This window comes from Homo sapiens, chromosome 17, assembly GCF_000001405.40.
Source record: "Homo sapiens chromosome 17, GRCh38.p14 Primary Assembly".
NCBI lineage: Eukaryota > Metazoa > Chordata > Mammalia > Primates > Hominidae > Homo > Homo sapiens.
This window is the reverse complement of record NC_000017.11, coordinates 57,932,944-57,948,379: the sequence shown is the minus strand read 5'-3', so window position 1 is coordinate 57,948,379 and position 15,436 is coordinate 57,932,944. Positions and strand designations below refer to the sequence as shown.

General features: G+C 48.1%; 1 protein-coding gene across 5 annotated transcripts in view, besides 5 other annotated features; it reads left to right on the top strand.

Moving 5' to 3' along the window:
• Positions 1-15,436, top strand: part of CUEDC1 (CUE domain containing 1) — a 94,170-nt gene that overhangs the window by 7,033 nt on the left and 71,701 nt on the right. The window contains exon 1 of one of the 5 annotated variants that reach the window (XM_047436060.1): positions 1,488-2,208. The exons of the other annotated variants lie outside the window; for them this stretch is intronic. The gene's annotated coding sequence lies outside the window, so the exon portion shown is untranslated. Of the gene's footprint in view, positions 1-1,487; positions 2,209-15,436 lie in introns of those variants that run through there. 5 annotated transcript variants of the gene reach the window in all.
• Positions 1,223-1,322: a silencer, noted in NCBI's record as "silent region_8752". NCBI's record gives its function as "represses an Ori minimal core promoter by ATAC-STARR-seq in GM12878 lymphoblastoid cells {active_cell/tissue: GM12878}" and the evidence as "EXISTENCE:reporter gene assay evidence [ECO:0000049][PMID:35858748]".
• Positions 1,223-1,572: a biological region, named in NCBI's record as "Sharpr-MPRA regulatory region 4150".
• Positions 1,278-1,572: an enhancer, noted in NCBI's record as "tiled region #4150; HepG2 Activating non-DNase unmatched - State 1:Tss". NCBI's record gives its function as "activates a minimal TATA promoter and a strong SV40 promoter by Sharpr-MPRA in HepG2 cells {active_cell/tissue: HepG2}" and the evidence as "EXISTENCE:reporter gene assay evidence [ECO:0000049][PMID:27701403]".
• Positions 6,659-6,808: an enhancer, noted in NCBI's record as "active region_12454". NCBI's record gives its function as "activates an Ori minimal core promoter by ATAC-STARR-seq in GM12878 lymphoblastoid cells {active_cell/tissue: GM12878}" and the evidence as "EXISTENCE:reporter gene assay evidence [ECO:0000049][PMID:35858748]".
• Positions 7,029-7,088: an enhancer, noted in NCBI's record as "active region_12453". NCBI's record gives its function as "activates an Ori minimal core promoter by ATAC-STARR-seq in GM12878 lymphoblastoid cells {active_cell/tissue: GM12878}" and the evidence as "EXISTENCE:reporter gene assay evidence [ECO:0000049][PMID:35858748]".

Genomic DNA, 15,436 nt, shown 5'->3' with positions numbered 1-15,436 from the left:
GGGGTGCTCACTGGGAGGGACCTACAGCTCTCGGGGATGGAGTCCAAGCCGTGTGAGGAGAGCTCAGGAAACCTGGAAGTAGTGGAGCATTTGTCTTGGTATTGGAATACAGAAAGCATCAGCCCCCATACACACAGTGTTTCTGAGAATGGCACTCTCAGTTGGAGCTAGTGGGTTATCTCCTAGATGCACCTAGAAGAGTTTTAGGCATATATATGAGGCCCTCAGTAAACTTTGTTGGATGAATGAGTAAATAACAGATAATCCAAGACTTAATTTCTCTTTGACCATACCCTTGTTAGGCCAGTGCACTTAACCCTTCTTATTCTGTTTTGCTTAAGCTGACAGTAGGCTTTTTTTCATAATACTGCCTAGCCACAAAGAAAGCTGCCCACAAGTATGCTGGGGGCAAGGGTAAGAAGAGAAAACACAGTTTAGGATCCTTCTCAACATTTATACTTCTTTGAAGGATCATCAAGGCCTGACATTATGTTCAGTCATAATGGCTTTTGCTTTTTTTCTTTTGTATTGTTCCAAGCACAAAAGTGTTTTTATTTTTTATTATTTATTTATTTATGAGACAGGGTCTTGCTCTTTCACCCAGGCTGGAGTGCAGTGTGGTGTGATCTCAGCTCACTGCAACCTCTGCCTCCCAGTTTCAAATGATTCTTGTGTCTCAGCCTCCCGAGAAGCTGGGATTACAGACATACGCCATCACAAACAGCTAATTTTTTTGTGTTTTTAGTAAAGATGGAGTTTCACCATGTTGGCCTGGCTGGTCTCGAACTCCTGAGCTCAAGAGATCCACTCGCCTTAGCCTCCCAAAGTACTGGGATTACAGGTGTGAGCCACCGTGCCTGGCTCGAGCACAAAAGTAAAACGCTTCGTTTTTCAAATTTACGAAAAACATGTAGTATAACAGTCTCAGCCACATTACAGCAAGATGGTTACAGGGATCTCAGAAGAGAACAAAGCTTGCTCTTGGAAGATAATCTGATTAAGAGTGAACCAAATATGAACGGATGCTGGACAATGAGTTTAAAAATAATACCGGGTGGTGAACTTTAGCTCACGGGGTGAACTGAAATAGACTTGTGCAAATAAGAGAGAAGTAGCAGCAGCAAACACGACGGCAAGAACTTTTGCTTCCTCCTCTAATCCCATGATTCCCTATTCATTAAGAAAGTATTTGATGTTAGGAGGGCACTGCAAAGCTTTTTTTTTTTTTTTTTCTCCTGGTGACCAGCAAGCTGGATTTGGAGCTCTGTTAAGGGGAAGCCTCTCTGTGGTCATGTAGGGTGATCAGGCTCCTGAAATGATTTCACTTTGCTCTGGTCTGAGATTAGTTTCGGTTTCAGGCTGTACCCACAGCTGGGAGAGAGCTAGTGAGCTCCAGGGAGGGTCAGCTGGGGGAGTTTCACCATTGGCTGTGTCAGCCAATGGCAAGGTGTGTGAACAGGGAACTCCTGTGTTGAGCAGAGAGAGGAAGAAGATGCGTCCGAGATGGAGTTGGGGAAGGCAGCACTTGCGTGTTTGTGTGTCCAGAGACCGGGCTGGTGATGATGAGCAGGAGGGAGCGTATGAAGATATCAGATGTGCAAAGGACAAAACCCCCACCCAATTACAGGACCACTGAGCCTCGAGCTAGGGAAGTCTTAAAACAGATTGCCTGGGCCGGGTGGATTTTCCCTGAGCAGGTGTACACCTGAAAGGAAAGCAAGTGTGAGCATGCCACAGAGTCAACATACATCTTGTACTGGCATTCTTAAGATCAGCCTCTACGGTGCAGCATTTTCTTGCATATGAGTTTCCTTTAAAAAAAAAAAAGTCAAATTAAAGTTTGAGAACTGATAGTTGCGAACTTGCAGACCTTTGCATGTTGGTGGATCCTTTGAGAACTTCAAGCTGTCATTTTTCCTGAGACGGCTTGAGGCCAGTCTGGTTGGTTCACAGGACATCATTACCCTAGAAAATCAGCAGTTTTCCTCCCCTGACTGGTTCTGGGTGAGGCATACACAGATGTTTCCTTCCCTCAGCAGTACTAGAGCATCATTACATTTTATTTCTCAAAGTTATAAATTCATTTTATTTTGAAAAGAGAGAATCACTGAATTTTACAGCTGGAAAGGATTCTGAAGACTGCTTGCTTGGTTGGCTCCTGGAGGAATCTGAGGTTGTGGGTCGTTAAGTGCTTTGAAAAGACCAATGGTATGTAATTAAGAATACTGAATCAGAATGCCTGTGCTTCATCCCAGCCTCTGCTAGTTGCTGCTGTGTTCTTGGGGCAAGTTACTCAATCTCTCTGAGTCTTAGTTTCCTGATCCATACAGTGGGAGTAATAATATTACCAAATGGTTTTTTGGTGTTTTTTTTTTATTTTTTATTTTTGAGGTGGAGTCTTGCTCTGTCACCCACAGCCTCCACCCGCCCGGGTTCAAGTAATTCTCCTGTCTCAGCCTCCTGAGTAGCTGGGATTACAGGCGCCCTCCATTACCCCATGCCCAGCTAATTTTTGTATTTTTAGTAGAGACAGTGTTTCACCATGTTGGCCAGGCTGGTCTTGAACTCCTGACCTCAACTGATCCGCCCACCTCAGCCTCCCAAAGTGCTGGGATTATAGGTATGAGCCACCACGCCCGGCCAAAATATTACATAATGATTGTTAATTACTACCAAATACTTATTAAGCCCCTAGCACAATGTTTTGCATATTGTAAGTCCTCATTAAATGTTAGCTGCTGCTGTTATTGTTATTATTTTCATTTTGTGAAATCACACAGCTACTTAGTGGTAAAGCCAGGGCTACAATGTTAAATTCTTTTTATTCCAATTCTTTTCAGCATGGCCATAAGGAGATTTCACCACATTCTGGAAATATGGGAAAACCTTTACAAAAATGTTTATGCGGATGTCTTTGCATGAATGTTCATAATACAGCTAGAAGAAATGGGCTTAACCTATTTATTAGATATAGTTAGACTTTGGGCATGGGGGCATATGTCTACCAAAGAATTTGTTTCCACAAATATTATTTACTAGTGTTTAAAGGTTTCCTGAATGCTAGATTGGTTGCCTCTGCTGGAAGATTGGGGTGTTTTTAGATGTTTTCATTGAAGAGTTCTTCTCAAGTTGGAAACATCCATTTCAATGAGTTGTGGTGGCAAAGCAGGCTTTTGTGCGTAATGGAAATATTTCTGTAGCCTGGCTGCTATTTATCAAGGGTGAAGACAGTGCAGATGTTTTGAAAAAAATATATAGGCTTGGCAGAAGTCCATGTGTCTTAGGCCATGCCTACACAAATCCATTCCCAAATGATCCGTACTGACCTTTAGCAAATCGATGACAGCCTCGGAGCCTCCCAAGGGAGCCGTTTTTGTCTGAAACATTGTTGAGGCCAGTGTGACCCCTGGCCTTGCATGGTCCTTGACACCTCTGATGGGGCGACACCCTCTCCCTAAGGCAGCTTTGGTGTGTTTTCGTGGAATATGAAGACGAATGGAAATGAATTTTGTTTGGTGAATCTTGAAAGATTCCTGGAGATACTGTCGCTCTGTAGAGATTGAAATCTGTTCTTGATGCTGATCCGTGGGACTTCTCAAATCTCCATGCCTGAAGGAGACAGTGTGTTAAAGTGTGAAATGTGTGAGTGTGCAAAGGAGTTGATGACTGGAGTTCCAGTCTTAGCTCTGCCATGTGTGGGCTGTGTCATTCTGAGCAGGTCACTTAGTTTGTTAATTTATAGTTTTCTTGAGGCTAATCTATTATTATACTCCACAACAACACATGGCTATTGACTACATATGTTAAATAGAGCTGGTAAGAATAATCTCTGTGGCACAAGATTCTTGTAATAGTCTAATAATGGCTAATGGCCAGGCGCAGTGGCTCACGCCTGTAATCCCAGCACTTTGGGAGGCCAAGGCGGGCAGATCACCTGAGGTCGGGAGTTCGAGACCAGCCTGACCAATATGGAGAAACCCTGTCTCTACTAAAAATACAAAATTAGCCGGGCGTGGTGGCGCATGCCTGTAATCCCAGCTACGCAGGAGGCTGAGGCAGGAGAATCACTTGAACCTGGGAGGCAGAGGTTGCAGTGAGCCGAGATCGCACCATTGCACACCAGCCTGTGCAACAAGAGCGAAGCTCCGTCTCAAAAAAAAAAAAAAAAATATATATATATAAAAAAATAAATAATAATAACTAACATTTATTGCATGCTTACTGCATATGCCAGTAAGCTTTCTAAGCATCTTGGGAATATTAATTTATGTAATCAATCCTAGATGAGACAGTAGTATCATCACTTTATGCAGGAGGAGACCGAGGCACAGAGAGGTTAAGTTAACTTGCGTAAGGTCACACTGCTAGTTAGCTGAGGAGGCAGGATCTGAGCTCCAAAGCCAGGAGGCTGAGTCCATAGATGTATTTACAATATTGTAGCGTTAGGATTCTTATTCTTTGACTGTTACTGTTCTTGTTTGACAGTCCCAGGGAGGGATAAACTGAGCCTAGAGGTAGATTAAGTGTACAGATCACAGTCTTGGAAACAATGAGGGATGGAATATATGAGAGTTTTTTTTGGAGTTCTGGGGAAACAGCTGTTTCTAAGTGTGGGGCAGAGCTGAGGAGATCTGGCAGAGATAGAGAAGGATTTTTTTTGGGGTGGATTTTTACTATCTGCTTTGAGGGTTGCATGTATGTGGATTTAAGAGCCACGTGACTCTTTCCCCTCCTATCCCATTTTATTTGGGAACTTATCTTTAAATTCCAACTCACCTCTCCCCCTGGCAGCCTTAGAAACTTAGAAAACTGCCATGGATGGTGAATTCTTGAGACATGAAAGGAAAGGTGAAGGGTGGGGTTCTTAGTGGAATTTCTTCCTTGTGGTAGCATTTCTATTAAATGCATATGGGGAATGAGCCACAGCGTGGCTTATGTTTGGTGGAGAGAGGGATGGGAACTCGGGTGACTTCCCTTTTTCTCATGAGCTGATTTAATAAGAGAATGAATCATCCTATGAGCTTTAATTCTGGAAAAGAAAGAAAGGAGAGGCAAATGAGTGAGATGGCATTTGACTGAAGCCAGAAGCCTTCCATGTCAGTCTCCTAGGGCGGGCACTAGGCTGGCACCCAGGGCCTTGGCGGTTCGTGCTAGTGGTGAGTTCCCTCCAGGGGCTTTGGGAAGGGCTCCCAGCTTCCGGTCACTGCCACTGTCACCATCAGCCCTCTCATCCTGGTAAGGCTCTGGAACCTAAGGCCTTGAAGGGAAAAGAATAGGGAGGCATGTCGTTAAAAATAGACTACTGGTAAAATTCACATATAGCAGTGATCATTTTTGTTTTTGTTTTGTTTTGAGACAGAGTCTCACTCCGTCACCCAGGCTGGAGTGCAGTGGCGCGATCTCGGCTCACTGCAAGCTCCGCCTCCTGGGTTCATGCCATTCTCCTGCCTCAGCCTCCCGAGTAGCTGGGACTACAGGCACCTGCCACCACGCCTGGCTAATTTTTTGTATTTTTAGTAGAGACGGGGTTTCACCGTGTTAGCCAGGATGATCTCGATCTCCTGACCTCGTGATCCACCCGCCTCGGCCTCCCAAAGTGCTGGGATTACAGGCGTGAGCCACAGCGCCCGGCAGCAGTGATTATTTTGAAGACATTAACATAAAAATTCATCTCATAAAACTAGACAATTTGGCCGGGTGTGGTGGCTCACGCCTGTAATACCAGCACTTTGGGAGACCAAGGCGGGTGGATCACCTGAGGTCAGGAGTTCAAGACCAGCCTGGCCAACATGGTGAAAGCCCATCTCTAGTAACAGTACAAAAATTAGCTGGGTGTGGTGGTGCATGCTTGTAGTGTCAGCTACTTGGGAGGCTGAGGCAGGAGAATCACTTGAACCCAGGAGGCGGAGGTTGCAGTGAGCTGAGAGAACACCACTGTACTCCAGCCTGGGCGACAGAGCGAGACTCTGTCTCAAAAAACAAATCAAACCAAACAAACAAACGAAAAAAAACTAGACAATTCAAAAATAGTTTTTGACCTACAGGGATGTGAGTGGGCCATTCGCACCCCATGAAGGTGGCAGGTGTCCTCTCTGTGCTAATGGCTGACCTCCTGGAACATCTTAGGAAAAGTCCTGTTCTCTTTCAGGACTTCAGATGTGAGCACTCCCAGCCCAGCCAGCTCCACCTCCCAGCTGCCGGGCCCTTCTCTGAGTTTGCCGGGAGGCCGGGAGCACATCCTTTTCTAAGCCACTCTTTGTGGCCTTTCTGTGGATCACTGACCTTAATTTGGATTCTGAGCCGAGCCTGGGGTCCCCAGGGAAGTGTAAAGGCTGCCACCGAAGAAGGGGTTGCATGAGAACTCCTTCAGACCAGCCCTGCCCCCCAGGCTCAATTTAGGAACATGAATAGGGTGGTCTTATTTTCGGACTCTGGCTTCTCCACACACATTTCCCAAAGGCTTGCTTTTTTAGACAATGTCCCTCTGTCCCCATTCACCTCGTTTTCCTTCCTGGCCCCAGCCATCAGCAGTGGCTACTGTTAATAGTTCCCATTTGTAAGAGGACTTGCTCCATGTCAAACATGCTACTTATGTAATTTAGTTTAGTCCTTATACTGACCCTAGGAGCCAGCGATTATTGTCTTTTTGGATGTGGGAACTGAGGCTGAGGGTTAAGTAACCTGGCCAAGTAACACACCCACTCACTTGGTGAGGTGTTTATTTGGTTTTGGTTTTAACCTTTTACTGTGAAAAATGTCAAACATCTACAAAAGTAGAGAGGTTAGTATAGTAACTTCCCTTTGCTGTTATGGAGAAGCCCTGGCTCCAGTTCTTCTGTGGCATACAGCAGACACCTTTGGGTGAATTAGAAGAAGGTGCTCTTCCTGTAGGTCACACAGCTTGGTAGGCAGAGTGTAGGCTGGATTTGAGCTCCATTTGCCCCTTTGGATGGGCACGTTGTAGTGAACAGCCTGCATAACTGTATATGGCAACCCTGTCTACCTAACTTTTATCTAGCTTTTGGCATAAAGAAAGGAGACTATACCCAGACACCAGTTCCTGACAGAATAATGACTTCTCTGCTCAGTCCTCTGCTATGTGGGATAGGGGGAGAAAAGCTCAGTCATGGGGGACTTTTCCAGTTAAAATGAAACAGGGAGATGATTCCCAGAGGAGACATTTCGGCTGCAGAGGAGGGTGGGGAAGATGAGTGGTGTCTTTTGCGGCTTCTGTTTTCCATCAGCCACCTGCTCTCTTGATGACTCCTCCTTGATGCCTTCTCCCATGTGTCTGCGCCCAGAGCAAGGGAAGCACTTGTCTACAGCCACACGGCTGGCAGGAGTAGAGTTGGTAGAGCCTTGGGTGTGAAAGCCTGGTGTGAACTCACTCTTGGCTGCCACCCTCCTGGAGTCACTAGGACAAGCTGTCTTTGCCTCCTGGCAGCTTAGCTTCTCTGGGGCTCAGGTTAGCCAGGGGCTGCGTGGGAGTTCTGCTTTGCACCTGTAGAACTGTTTCTTTTAGTCCCAAGTGGGGCTTATGAGTCACCAGATAGGGTGCTTCCTAAGGGTAGTTATTGTATTTTTTTAAAAACTACTGTGCCCTTGATTATACCCATGACAGCACCTGGCACTGTTGCTCCAGAAATATTTGTTAAACAGATGAATGTTAAACAAATGAATGCAGCATCCTGCTGAAGGGCCCAGGCTGAAAAATTCCTGTGCTTTAGTCAGGAGAGGCTGGATTATGCTGCAGGAATAATCAAATCCTGACATCCCAGGGGCTTGACACCATCTAGGTTTATTTTTTGCTCGTGGAAAGTCTTGTAGGTCAGGCAGTGCACCTCCATCTGTAGCCACATCATCTGGAATATAGGGCCTTCAAGGTTACTGCGGGAGGGGAGGAGAGAGATGGAGGAAACTGACACCTGTTACTTCCATTCACATTGTCCAGAGCTGGTCACATGGGGCCGACCTCACTGCAAGGAAGGCTGGCAAATGTAGAGGAGAGAAGAGCTGTCTTTGCCGATCTAAAGGAGAGGATTTTGAATTTCTTGTTTCCAGCTTCAGTCCATTGGAGTGCCTCTGGCTGAATCGCTTACTGTGCCACCATTTTTTTTTTTTTTTTTAAACACTGACAGAAATGGAATACCTGCCACTTCCTTTAATCCAGGGAAGGAGGCATGGGATGGCACTGAAGAAGAGTCACATGGCAGGGTTTTTAACGGCTCCTTTATTACATGTTGACTATATGATGTTGATTTAGTCACCTCTAGAGCCTCTTTCCTCATCTGTACAGGGAGGATAGTGATGCCAGCTTGTCTCTCAGTTCAGACTCTACTGAAGGCAAGTAACAGAAACCAGCTCGAGCTATTTGAAGCCATAGGGGAATTGAAGACTCAAAGGAGGAAGTGCCTGGTCTCCCAAGTGCCGGGGGTGTGTGGGGGTGTGGTGGGGGTGGCTGACGCAGCTGTTCTCAGTGAGTCTGCATGGTGCACCTGCAGGACGCCGCTGCTGCTGTGGATGTGCACCAGGTGGTATGGCCCCTCAGCTCCCAAATACACCCGTCCACTTTCCAGTAACCCTTAGTTACTGAATGGTGTCTGAGCCTTGATGTGAACTCCTGAGGAGAGAGTCTGATGGGCTTGTGTGGATCAGCTGTCTACCACTGGGCCAGTCAGCTGGGGCCAGGAGGGCATGATCACGCAGCACCAGGGGGTAGGAGCTTTCCCCTGTGAATGGGAGTAGAGGCGGTCCTCACAGGAGGGATATGAGCTGGCCAGACACGTCCAGAAGCTGTTCAGGTCAGGCGAAATGGTTCACGCCTGTAATGTCAGCACTCTGGGGGGCCAAGGTGGGAGGATCACTTGAGGTCAGGAGTTCGAGACCAGCCTGGGCAACATAGTGAGACCCTCTCCCCCCACCCACATCTCTACACATAATTTGAAAAATTAGCTGGGCGTGGTGATGTGTGCCTGTAGTCCCAGCTACTTGGGAGGCTGAGGTGGGAGGATCACCTGAGCCCAGGAGTTCAAGGCTGCGGTGAGCCGGGATTGTTCCACTGCACTCCAGTCTTCACCCAGACTGAGATCTCGTCTCAAAAAAATAAAAAGCTAGACCGGGCATGGTGGCTCATGCCTGCAATCCCAGCACTTTGGGGGGCCAAGGCAGGCAGATCACTTGAGGTCAGGAGTTCAAGATCAGCCTGGCCAACAAGGTGAAAGCCCGTCTCTACTAAAATACAAAAATTAGCCAGGCATGGTGTCACACTCCTGTAGTCCCAGCTACTCTGGAGGCTGAGGCAGGAGAATCGCTTGAACCCAGAAGGTGGAGGTTGCAGTGAGCCAGGATCATGCCATTGCACTCCTGCTTGGGTGACAGAGTGAGACTCCTTTTCAAAAAAAAAAAAAAAAAAAAAAAAAGGCTGGGCACGGTGGCTCGTGCCTGTAATCCCAGCATTTTGGAGGCTGAGGCAGGCAGATCACCTGAGGTCAGAAGTTCGAGACCAGCCTGACCAACATGGAAAAACCCCATCTCTACCAAAAATATAAAATTAGCCGGGCGTGGTGGCACATGCCTGTAATCCCAGCTACTCAGGAGGCTGAGGCAGGAGAATCGCTCGAACCCGGGAGGCAGAGGTTGCGCTGAGCTGAGATAGCGCCACTGCACTCCAGCCTGTGCAACAAGAGCAAAACTCTGTCTTAAAAATAAATAAATAAATAAATAATAAATAAATAAAATTTAAAAATAAAATAAAAAGCTGTTGTCCATGTTTAGCTGGTTCAGGGTTGCTGAGCTGGCTGGGTAATGTCTGTAAGAACACTGAGAACTATCAGGTATTGCATATGTGTGCTCTGGTATGGTGCTGCCAGCTCTCTCATTAGGAATCATGGAGATTGTACTGCCCTAAAGGGGCATGGGAAGGATTATAACGCTGTGAGGGAGAATTTAAAAGTCTTGGTGGAGGCAGGCGAGCTGTTTGTTGGAAGGCCATGGAGCAGGGATGGGAGGGAGTAGTCAGGGCCGGGGCCAGCACAGGGCATTGCTGGGGTTAAGCTAGGTTTATAGGGCGTTAGGCCATGACATCATAAACCAGAGAGTAAACGTGTATTTATCACCTGCGTAAATACAGATGCTTCTACACTTGAAACTGTGTAATGGAGAAAGGATGTTAGGCCGGATATGGCACTTTGGTCCCTAGACCAAAGTCCTTGTCCCTAGACTGTCTCAACTGGCTGTGTGCCTGTGACTCTGGGCTTGAGGATCCTGTGTGTGCAGCCTGTGTCCATATAGCATGGGAGTTAAGGCCTGAAGACTGGGATTAGGCAGCTGGCTTTGAGTCTTGTTCTTCACTCTCTGTGTGACTTAGGCAGATTATAACAAATTTTTTATTACAATTATTTTATTTTATTTTTTGGCTTCTCATGCTTATTTCCTACCTAGGCAGAATTTTAGATTTATTTTTTAGTTTTTCTTGAGACTAGGTCTCTCTCTGTCGTCCCAGCTGGAGTGCAGTAGCACCATCACAGCTCACTGCAGCCTGGATCCCCTGGGCTCAAGGGGTTTTCCCACCTCAGCTTCCCTGAGTAGCTGGGACTACAGGCACTCACCACCATGCCTGACTAATTTTAAAAATTATTTGTAGAGATAGGGTCTTGCTATGTTGCCCAGGCTGGTGATCCTACCAATCTCCTAAAGTGTTGAGATTATAGGCAGGAGCCACTGTGCCCAGCCTCTAGGCAGATTTTTTTCTTTTTCTGTTTTTTTTTTTTTGAGACAGGGTCTCACTTTGTCACCCAGGCTGGAGTGCAGTGGCACAGTCTCGGCTTACTGCAACCTAGACCTCCCAGGTTCAAGCATCCTCCTGCCTCAGCCTCCTGAGTAGCTGGGACTACCGGTGCATGCTGCCACATCTCACTAATTTTTGTATTTTTTGTAGAGATGAGATTTCACCATGTTTCCCAGGCTGGTCTTGAACCCCTGGGCTCAAGTGATCCTCCCAACTCGGCTTCCCAAAGTGTTGGGATGACAGGTGTGAGCCACCACGCCAGGCCTCTGGGCAGATTTCTAAACCTCCCTGAGTTTTAGTTTCCTCATTTGTGAAATGAGGATATCCATAGTACCTGCTTTGTGTGGTTACTGTGAGGATCACATGAAATGAATGTGCAATCAAATGTTAACTAATATTATTAATAGAAGCTGAGGCCAGGCTGATTCCAGGGAACCATGGCAGGGTGCCCAGGCCCTTTAAGAGTAAGAATGAGGGCTGGGTGCGGTGGCTCACACCTGTAATCCCAGCACTTTGGGAGGCCGAGGTGGGCAGATCACGAGGTCAAAAGATGGAGACCATCCTGGCCAACATGGTGAAACCCTGTCTCTACTAAAAATACAAAAATTAGCTTGACGTGGTGGTGTATGCCTGTAGTTCCAGCTACTTGGGAGGCTGAGGCAGGAGAATCGCTTGAACCCAGGAGGCGGAGGTTGCAGTGAGCCGAGATCACGCCACTGTACTCCAGCGTGGTGATACAGCGAGACACCGTTTCAAAAAAAAAAAAAGTGTGAATGAACGTGGAGGGCTGTATGGGGGCGGGATGGGCTGGGGGTGCAGGAAGAAGCCCTGAGAAAGGATAGATAGGAGGCTAGAGGAGCAGTGCGCAGGAGAGTGGAGCTGCTGACAGAGGTGGATCTGAGCCTCACCCGGGTTGCGGCTCAGGTCTTTCTATTAATCCAGTTCTGCCAGCACAGTAGTGCCATGCTCTGTGGAAACAGCCCTGGAGCCAGCACTGCCTCCTCTCCTCCCGCTGCCCATCTGCATCCCAGCCACTGTCCCTGAGGCCTCAAGATGTGTTGAACCTTAGGGATGAGTCTGCAGAATCCTAGAAGTTGGGTGCCTCCTTCCCTGCCATCCTGGGCTGGGGGCTTGAGAGGCACCTGGTTGTGAGGGCTGGGATTAGAGTGCTTCCATTGCGAAACTGTGGAGCCTGGAGAGTTAAAAAATAAATGAAGAAGCTCTGACCACAGAGCAATTGGAGGGCTGAATTATTTAGAGCCTCTGCTCCCTCTGGCTTCTCCTGGGGAAGGGCCAAAGGAGGAATGTGGAGCCAGGGAGGGCTGAGCTTCCCTGGCCAGGCTTGTGCACTCAGGGGCCCTGGGAGTCCACACTGTCCTGCCATGTCCTCAGCCGCTTTTGTCCTTGGGTCACAAGGCCTCTGTGGTTTCCCGCAGCCCACAGGGCCTGACAGATTCAGGTTGAGGCTGAGAGGAGAGACCCTCCCTTTCCTCTTTGCCCCACTCCTGGTCTGGCCTCCCCTGATGCTGCTTGGCTCCAGGACATAGCGATAATGAATGACATAAATAAGTCATTCTCATTAGCAGCGGGTGGGTCACTGGCCCAGGAGACAGGACAGCAACAGCGGAGGTGGGTGTGGACAGGGCTGGTCAAGTCCCCTGGTCTTTCTCTCAGGAGCCCCAGAGGGAGGCTTAATCCTCTTTCAGTCTCTCCAGGATTATGTTTTCAGCTTGGGGGACTTGATGAAAATCCATGCTTCCAGCAGTCAAGGGGGCCCAGGAGAGGGGTGCCAGTAGGGTCCCCTAGGAAGGAATTGGGGTGGGACGGCCAGGCGCTGAGGCTGCTCCAGGCGGGCCTGGCCCGCCAAGGTGGACCGTGGCCATGGCAACCCCTGGCTGCACCCGGGGTAAACACAGGCTTTCAAAGGGGGCCTTGTTTTGTTCCCTGTGGAAGCCTTTCAGTTCCAGCCTGCTGGGGCTTTTCAAACCTCGGGAGGAAAGGGAGGGCAGCGGGGATGGGGCGGGCCTGGCTATGAGGAAATGTCACTCCTGGACCCCCTTCACCCCGGCCCCAGGCATATTTCCTGGAGGCCCCAGTTTCTAAAGCTCCTGCTTCTGGAGAATGAAAAGAAGAGTAAGCACCAGGAATGTGTCCAGTCTCTAGGCAACAGGGTGTGTGTGTGTGTGTTTGTGTGTGTGTGTGTGTGTGTGTGTGTCTAATGGAAGGGAGGGAAGCTTAAAAAAAAAAATCACTGTCACGCTGGTCACTCAGGATGGAAGCCTTCACTGCTCTACACTGATTTCAGCAAGCCAGCCAGGGCTGCCTGAAGCAGGTCTTTAAGGATTGCTCATCCTGTTGTCATGGAATATCAAATAAGTAAAATCTCAGAGAAAACACTAAACCATTCATTAAATGTAAGGTAAACACATTGGCAGTTTGCATTCTTGTGTATTAGTCAGTGAGTTTTAGTAAGAAAGCTGATTGCGGGCACTTGAATAGCCTTTGCTGTCTTGGGGAGCTTGGTCCCTGGATTCTATCCCCATCATTTTGTCTGTGAGCTTAACCCAAGTATAAAAATGGGGAACGGGCTGGGTGTGGTGGCTCATGCCTGTAATCCCAGCACTTTGGGAGGCTGAGGCAGGTGGATCACCTGAGCTCAGGAGTTCGAGACCAGCCTGAGCAACATGGCGAAACCCTGTCTCTATTAAAAATACAAAAATTAGCTGGGCATGGTGGGGCATGCCTGTAATCCCAGCTACTCGGGAGGCTGAGGCATGAGAATTGTTTGAATCTGGGAGGTAGAGGCTGCAGTGAGCCGAAATCACGCCACTGCATGCCAGCCTGGGCAACAGAGTGAGATTCTGTCTCAAAAAAACAATCGGGAAGGATGGCATGTCTGCCCCTCTAAGTATTCTCTATGTATCTGTTAAGGAATGAGTAGATAGCAAATGCACTTCCACTTCTTAAAAAAGATAGGGGTTCATATCCAAATATTGTCTTTCTTTCCTTTTTTTTTTTTTTTTTTTTTTTTTTTAGAGAGACAGGGTCTTGCTATATTGCCTAGGCTGGAGTACAGTGTCACAGTAATGGCTCACTATAACCTGGAATTTGTGGGCTCAAGCTATACCCCTGCCTCAGCCTCCCAAGTAGCTGAGACTACAGGTGTGCACCACCATGTCCGGCTATTTTTATTTTTATTTTTGAGACGGAGTCTTGCTCTGTTTCCCAGGCTGGAGTGCAGTGGTGTGATCTTGGCTCACTGCAACCTCCGACTCCTGGGTTCAAGCAATTCTCCTGCCTCAGCCTCCCGAGTAGCTGGGACTATAGGCACGTGTCACCACGCCTGGCTAATTTTTGTATTTTTAGTAGAGACGGGCTTTCACCATACTAGCCAGGCTGGTCTTGAATTCCTGACCTCATGATCCTCCTGCCTTGGCCTCCCAAAGTGTTGGGATTAGAGGTGTGAGCCACCGCACCTGGCCTTTATTTTTATATTGTAGAGAAGAGGTCTCACTATGTTGCCCAGCCCAGGCTGGTCTCAAACTCCTGGGCTCAAGCAGTCCTCCCACCTTGGCTTTAAATATTCTTTCTTGACACTGCATTCCTCTTTGCCTTGTCTGAAGAGGTGGTGAGCAGGATGGGGAGGGGAGCAGGAGGCAGATATGACTGCATCTGTTAACATTGGGCTGGCCTCTCTCAGCCAGGTCCCCAGATGCTCCTGGGGAGTCTTGAAGGAGGTGTAGGGAGAAAGATCCCAGCCCATAAGTCGGGCTCCAAATAGAGGTGTTCTGGGCCTGTGTTCATTTGTTCTCGAGTCACTGTCGGCCTGGGGAATGCAGCATCCGATCTGGTAGACTAGAGTTTACTGCTGAAGACCCCAGCTTCATGCCTTCCAGTCTGGCCGGGAGAGGTGGGGCTGAGGAAGTATGAGTATACCTAGCCCTGCATCCCTGCAACTCAGCAAGCTTTCCCCACAGCTGGCAGAGAGCAGTCTCGTTCCAAGGCTAGATCAGGTGGCTGGGTCCTCCTGGATTCCCATCTCTTCTGTCCCTTCCTCCCTTTGCAAATTCTCCCTTGTCATATGCTGTTGAACTGGGGGAGATGAAAGTGGCTTCTTCATCTGAAATTGGGGTGGAGGGGGGCTCATGAACTTGCCCAGCTTTTTTGATTAGTATAAAATAAGAGGCACTGCATACAGCTTTGTGGAGACAGGGAAAAAGAAGATATGGTTCCTGCTTCTGGAGAGATTTGGTCTAATGGAGGAACCGACCAACACGTTAGAACATCAAGGCTATATAAAGTTACAGACATTGTTGTTTACTTGTAGAATCTTAGACTGGCTAAGAGATCCAAAATGTCCAGAGCAGCTCTGTTCAGTGGTTCTCCCCCCTTGCTGCCCGTGAGGCTGTCTGATTCTGCTAGTGCTGGGTGGGGCCCAGGCAGGGGTAAATTTTATACATTGCCCAGGTGTTTCTATTGGGCAGCCAGGGTTGAGAACCATCTATCTAGTGCAGTGGTTCACAAGTGGGGATCATCTGGCCCCCCAGGAGACATTGGCAGTGTTACAACTGGGGGTGATGTTGCTACTGGCATTTGTGGGTAGAGGCCAGGGATGCTGCTCAACATCTTCCAATATACAGGACAGCCCCT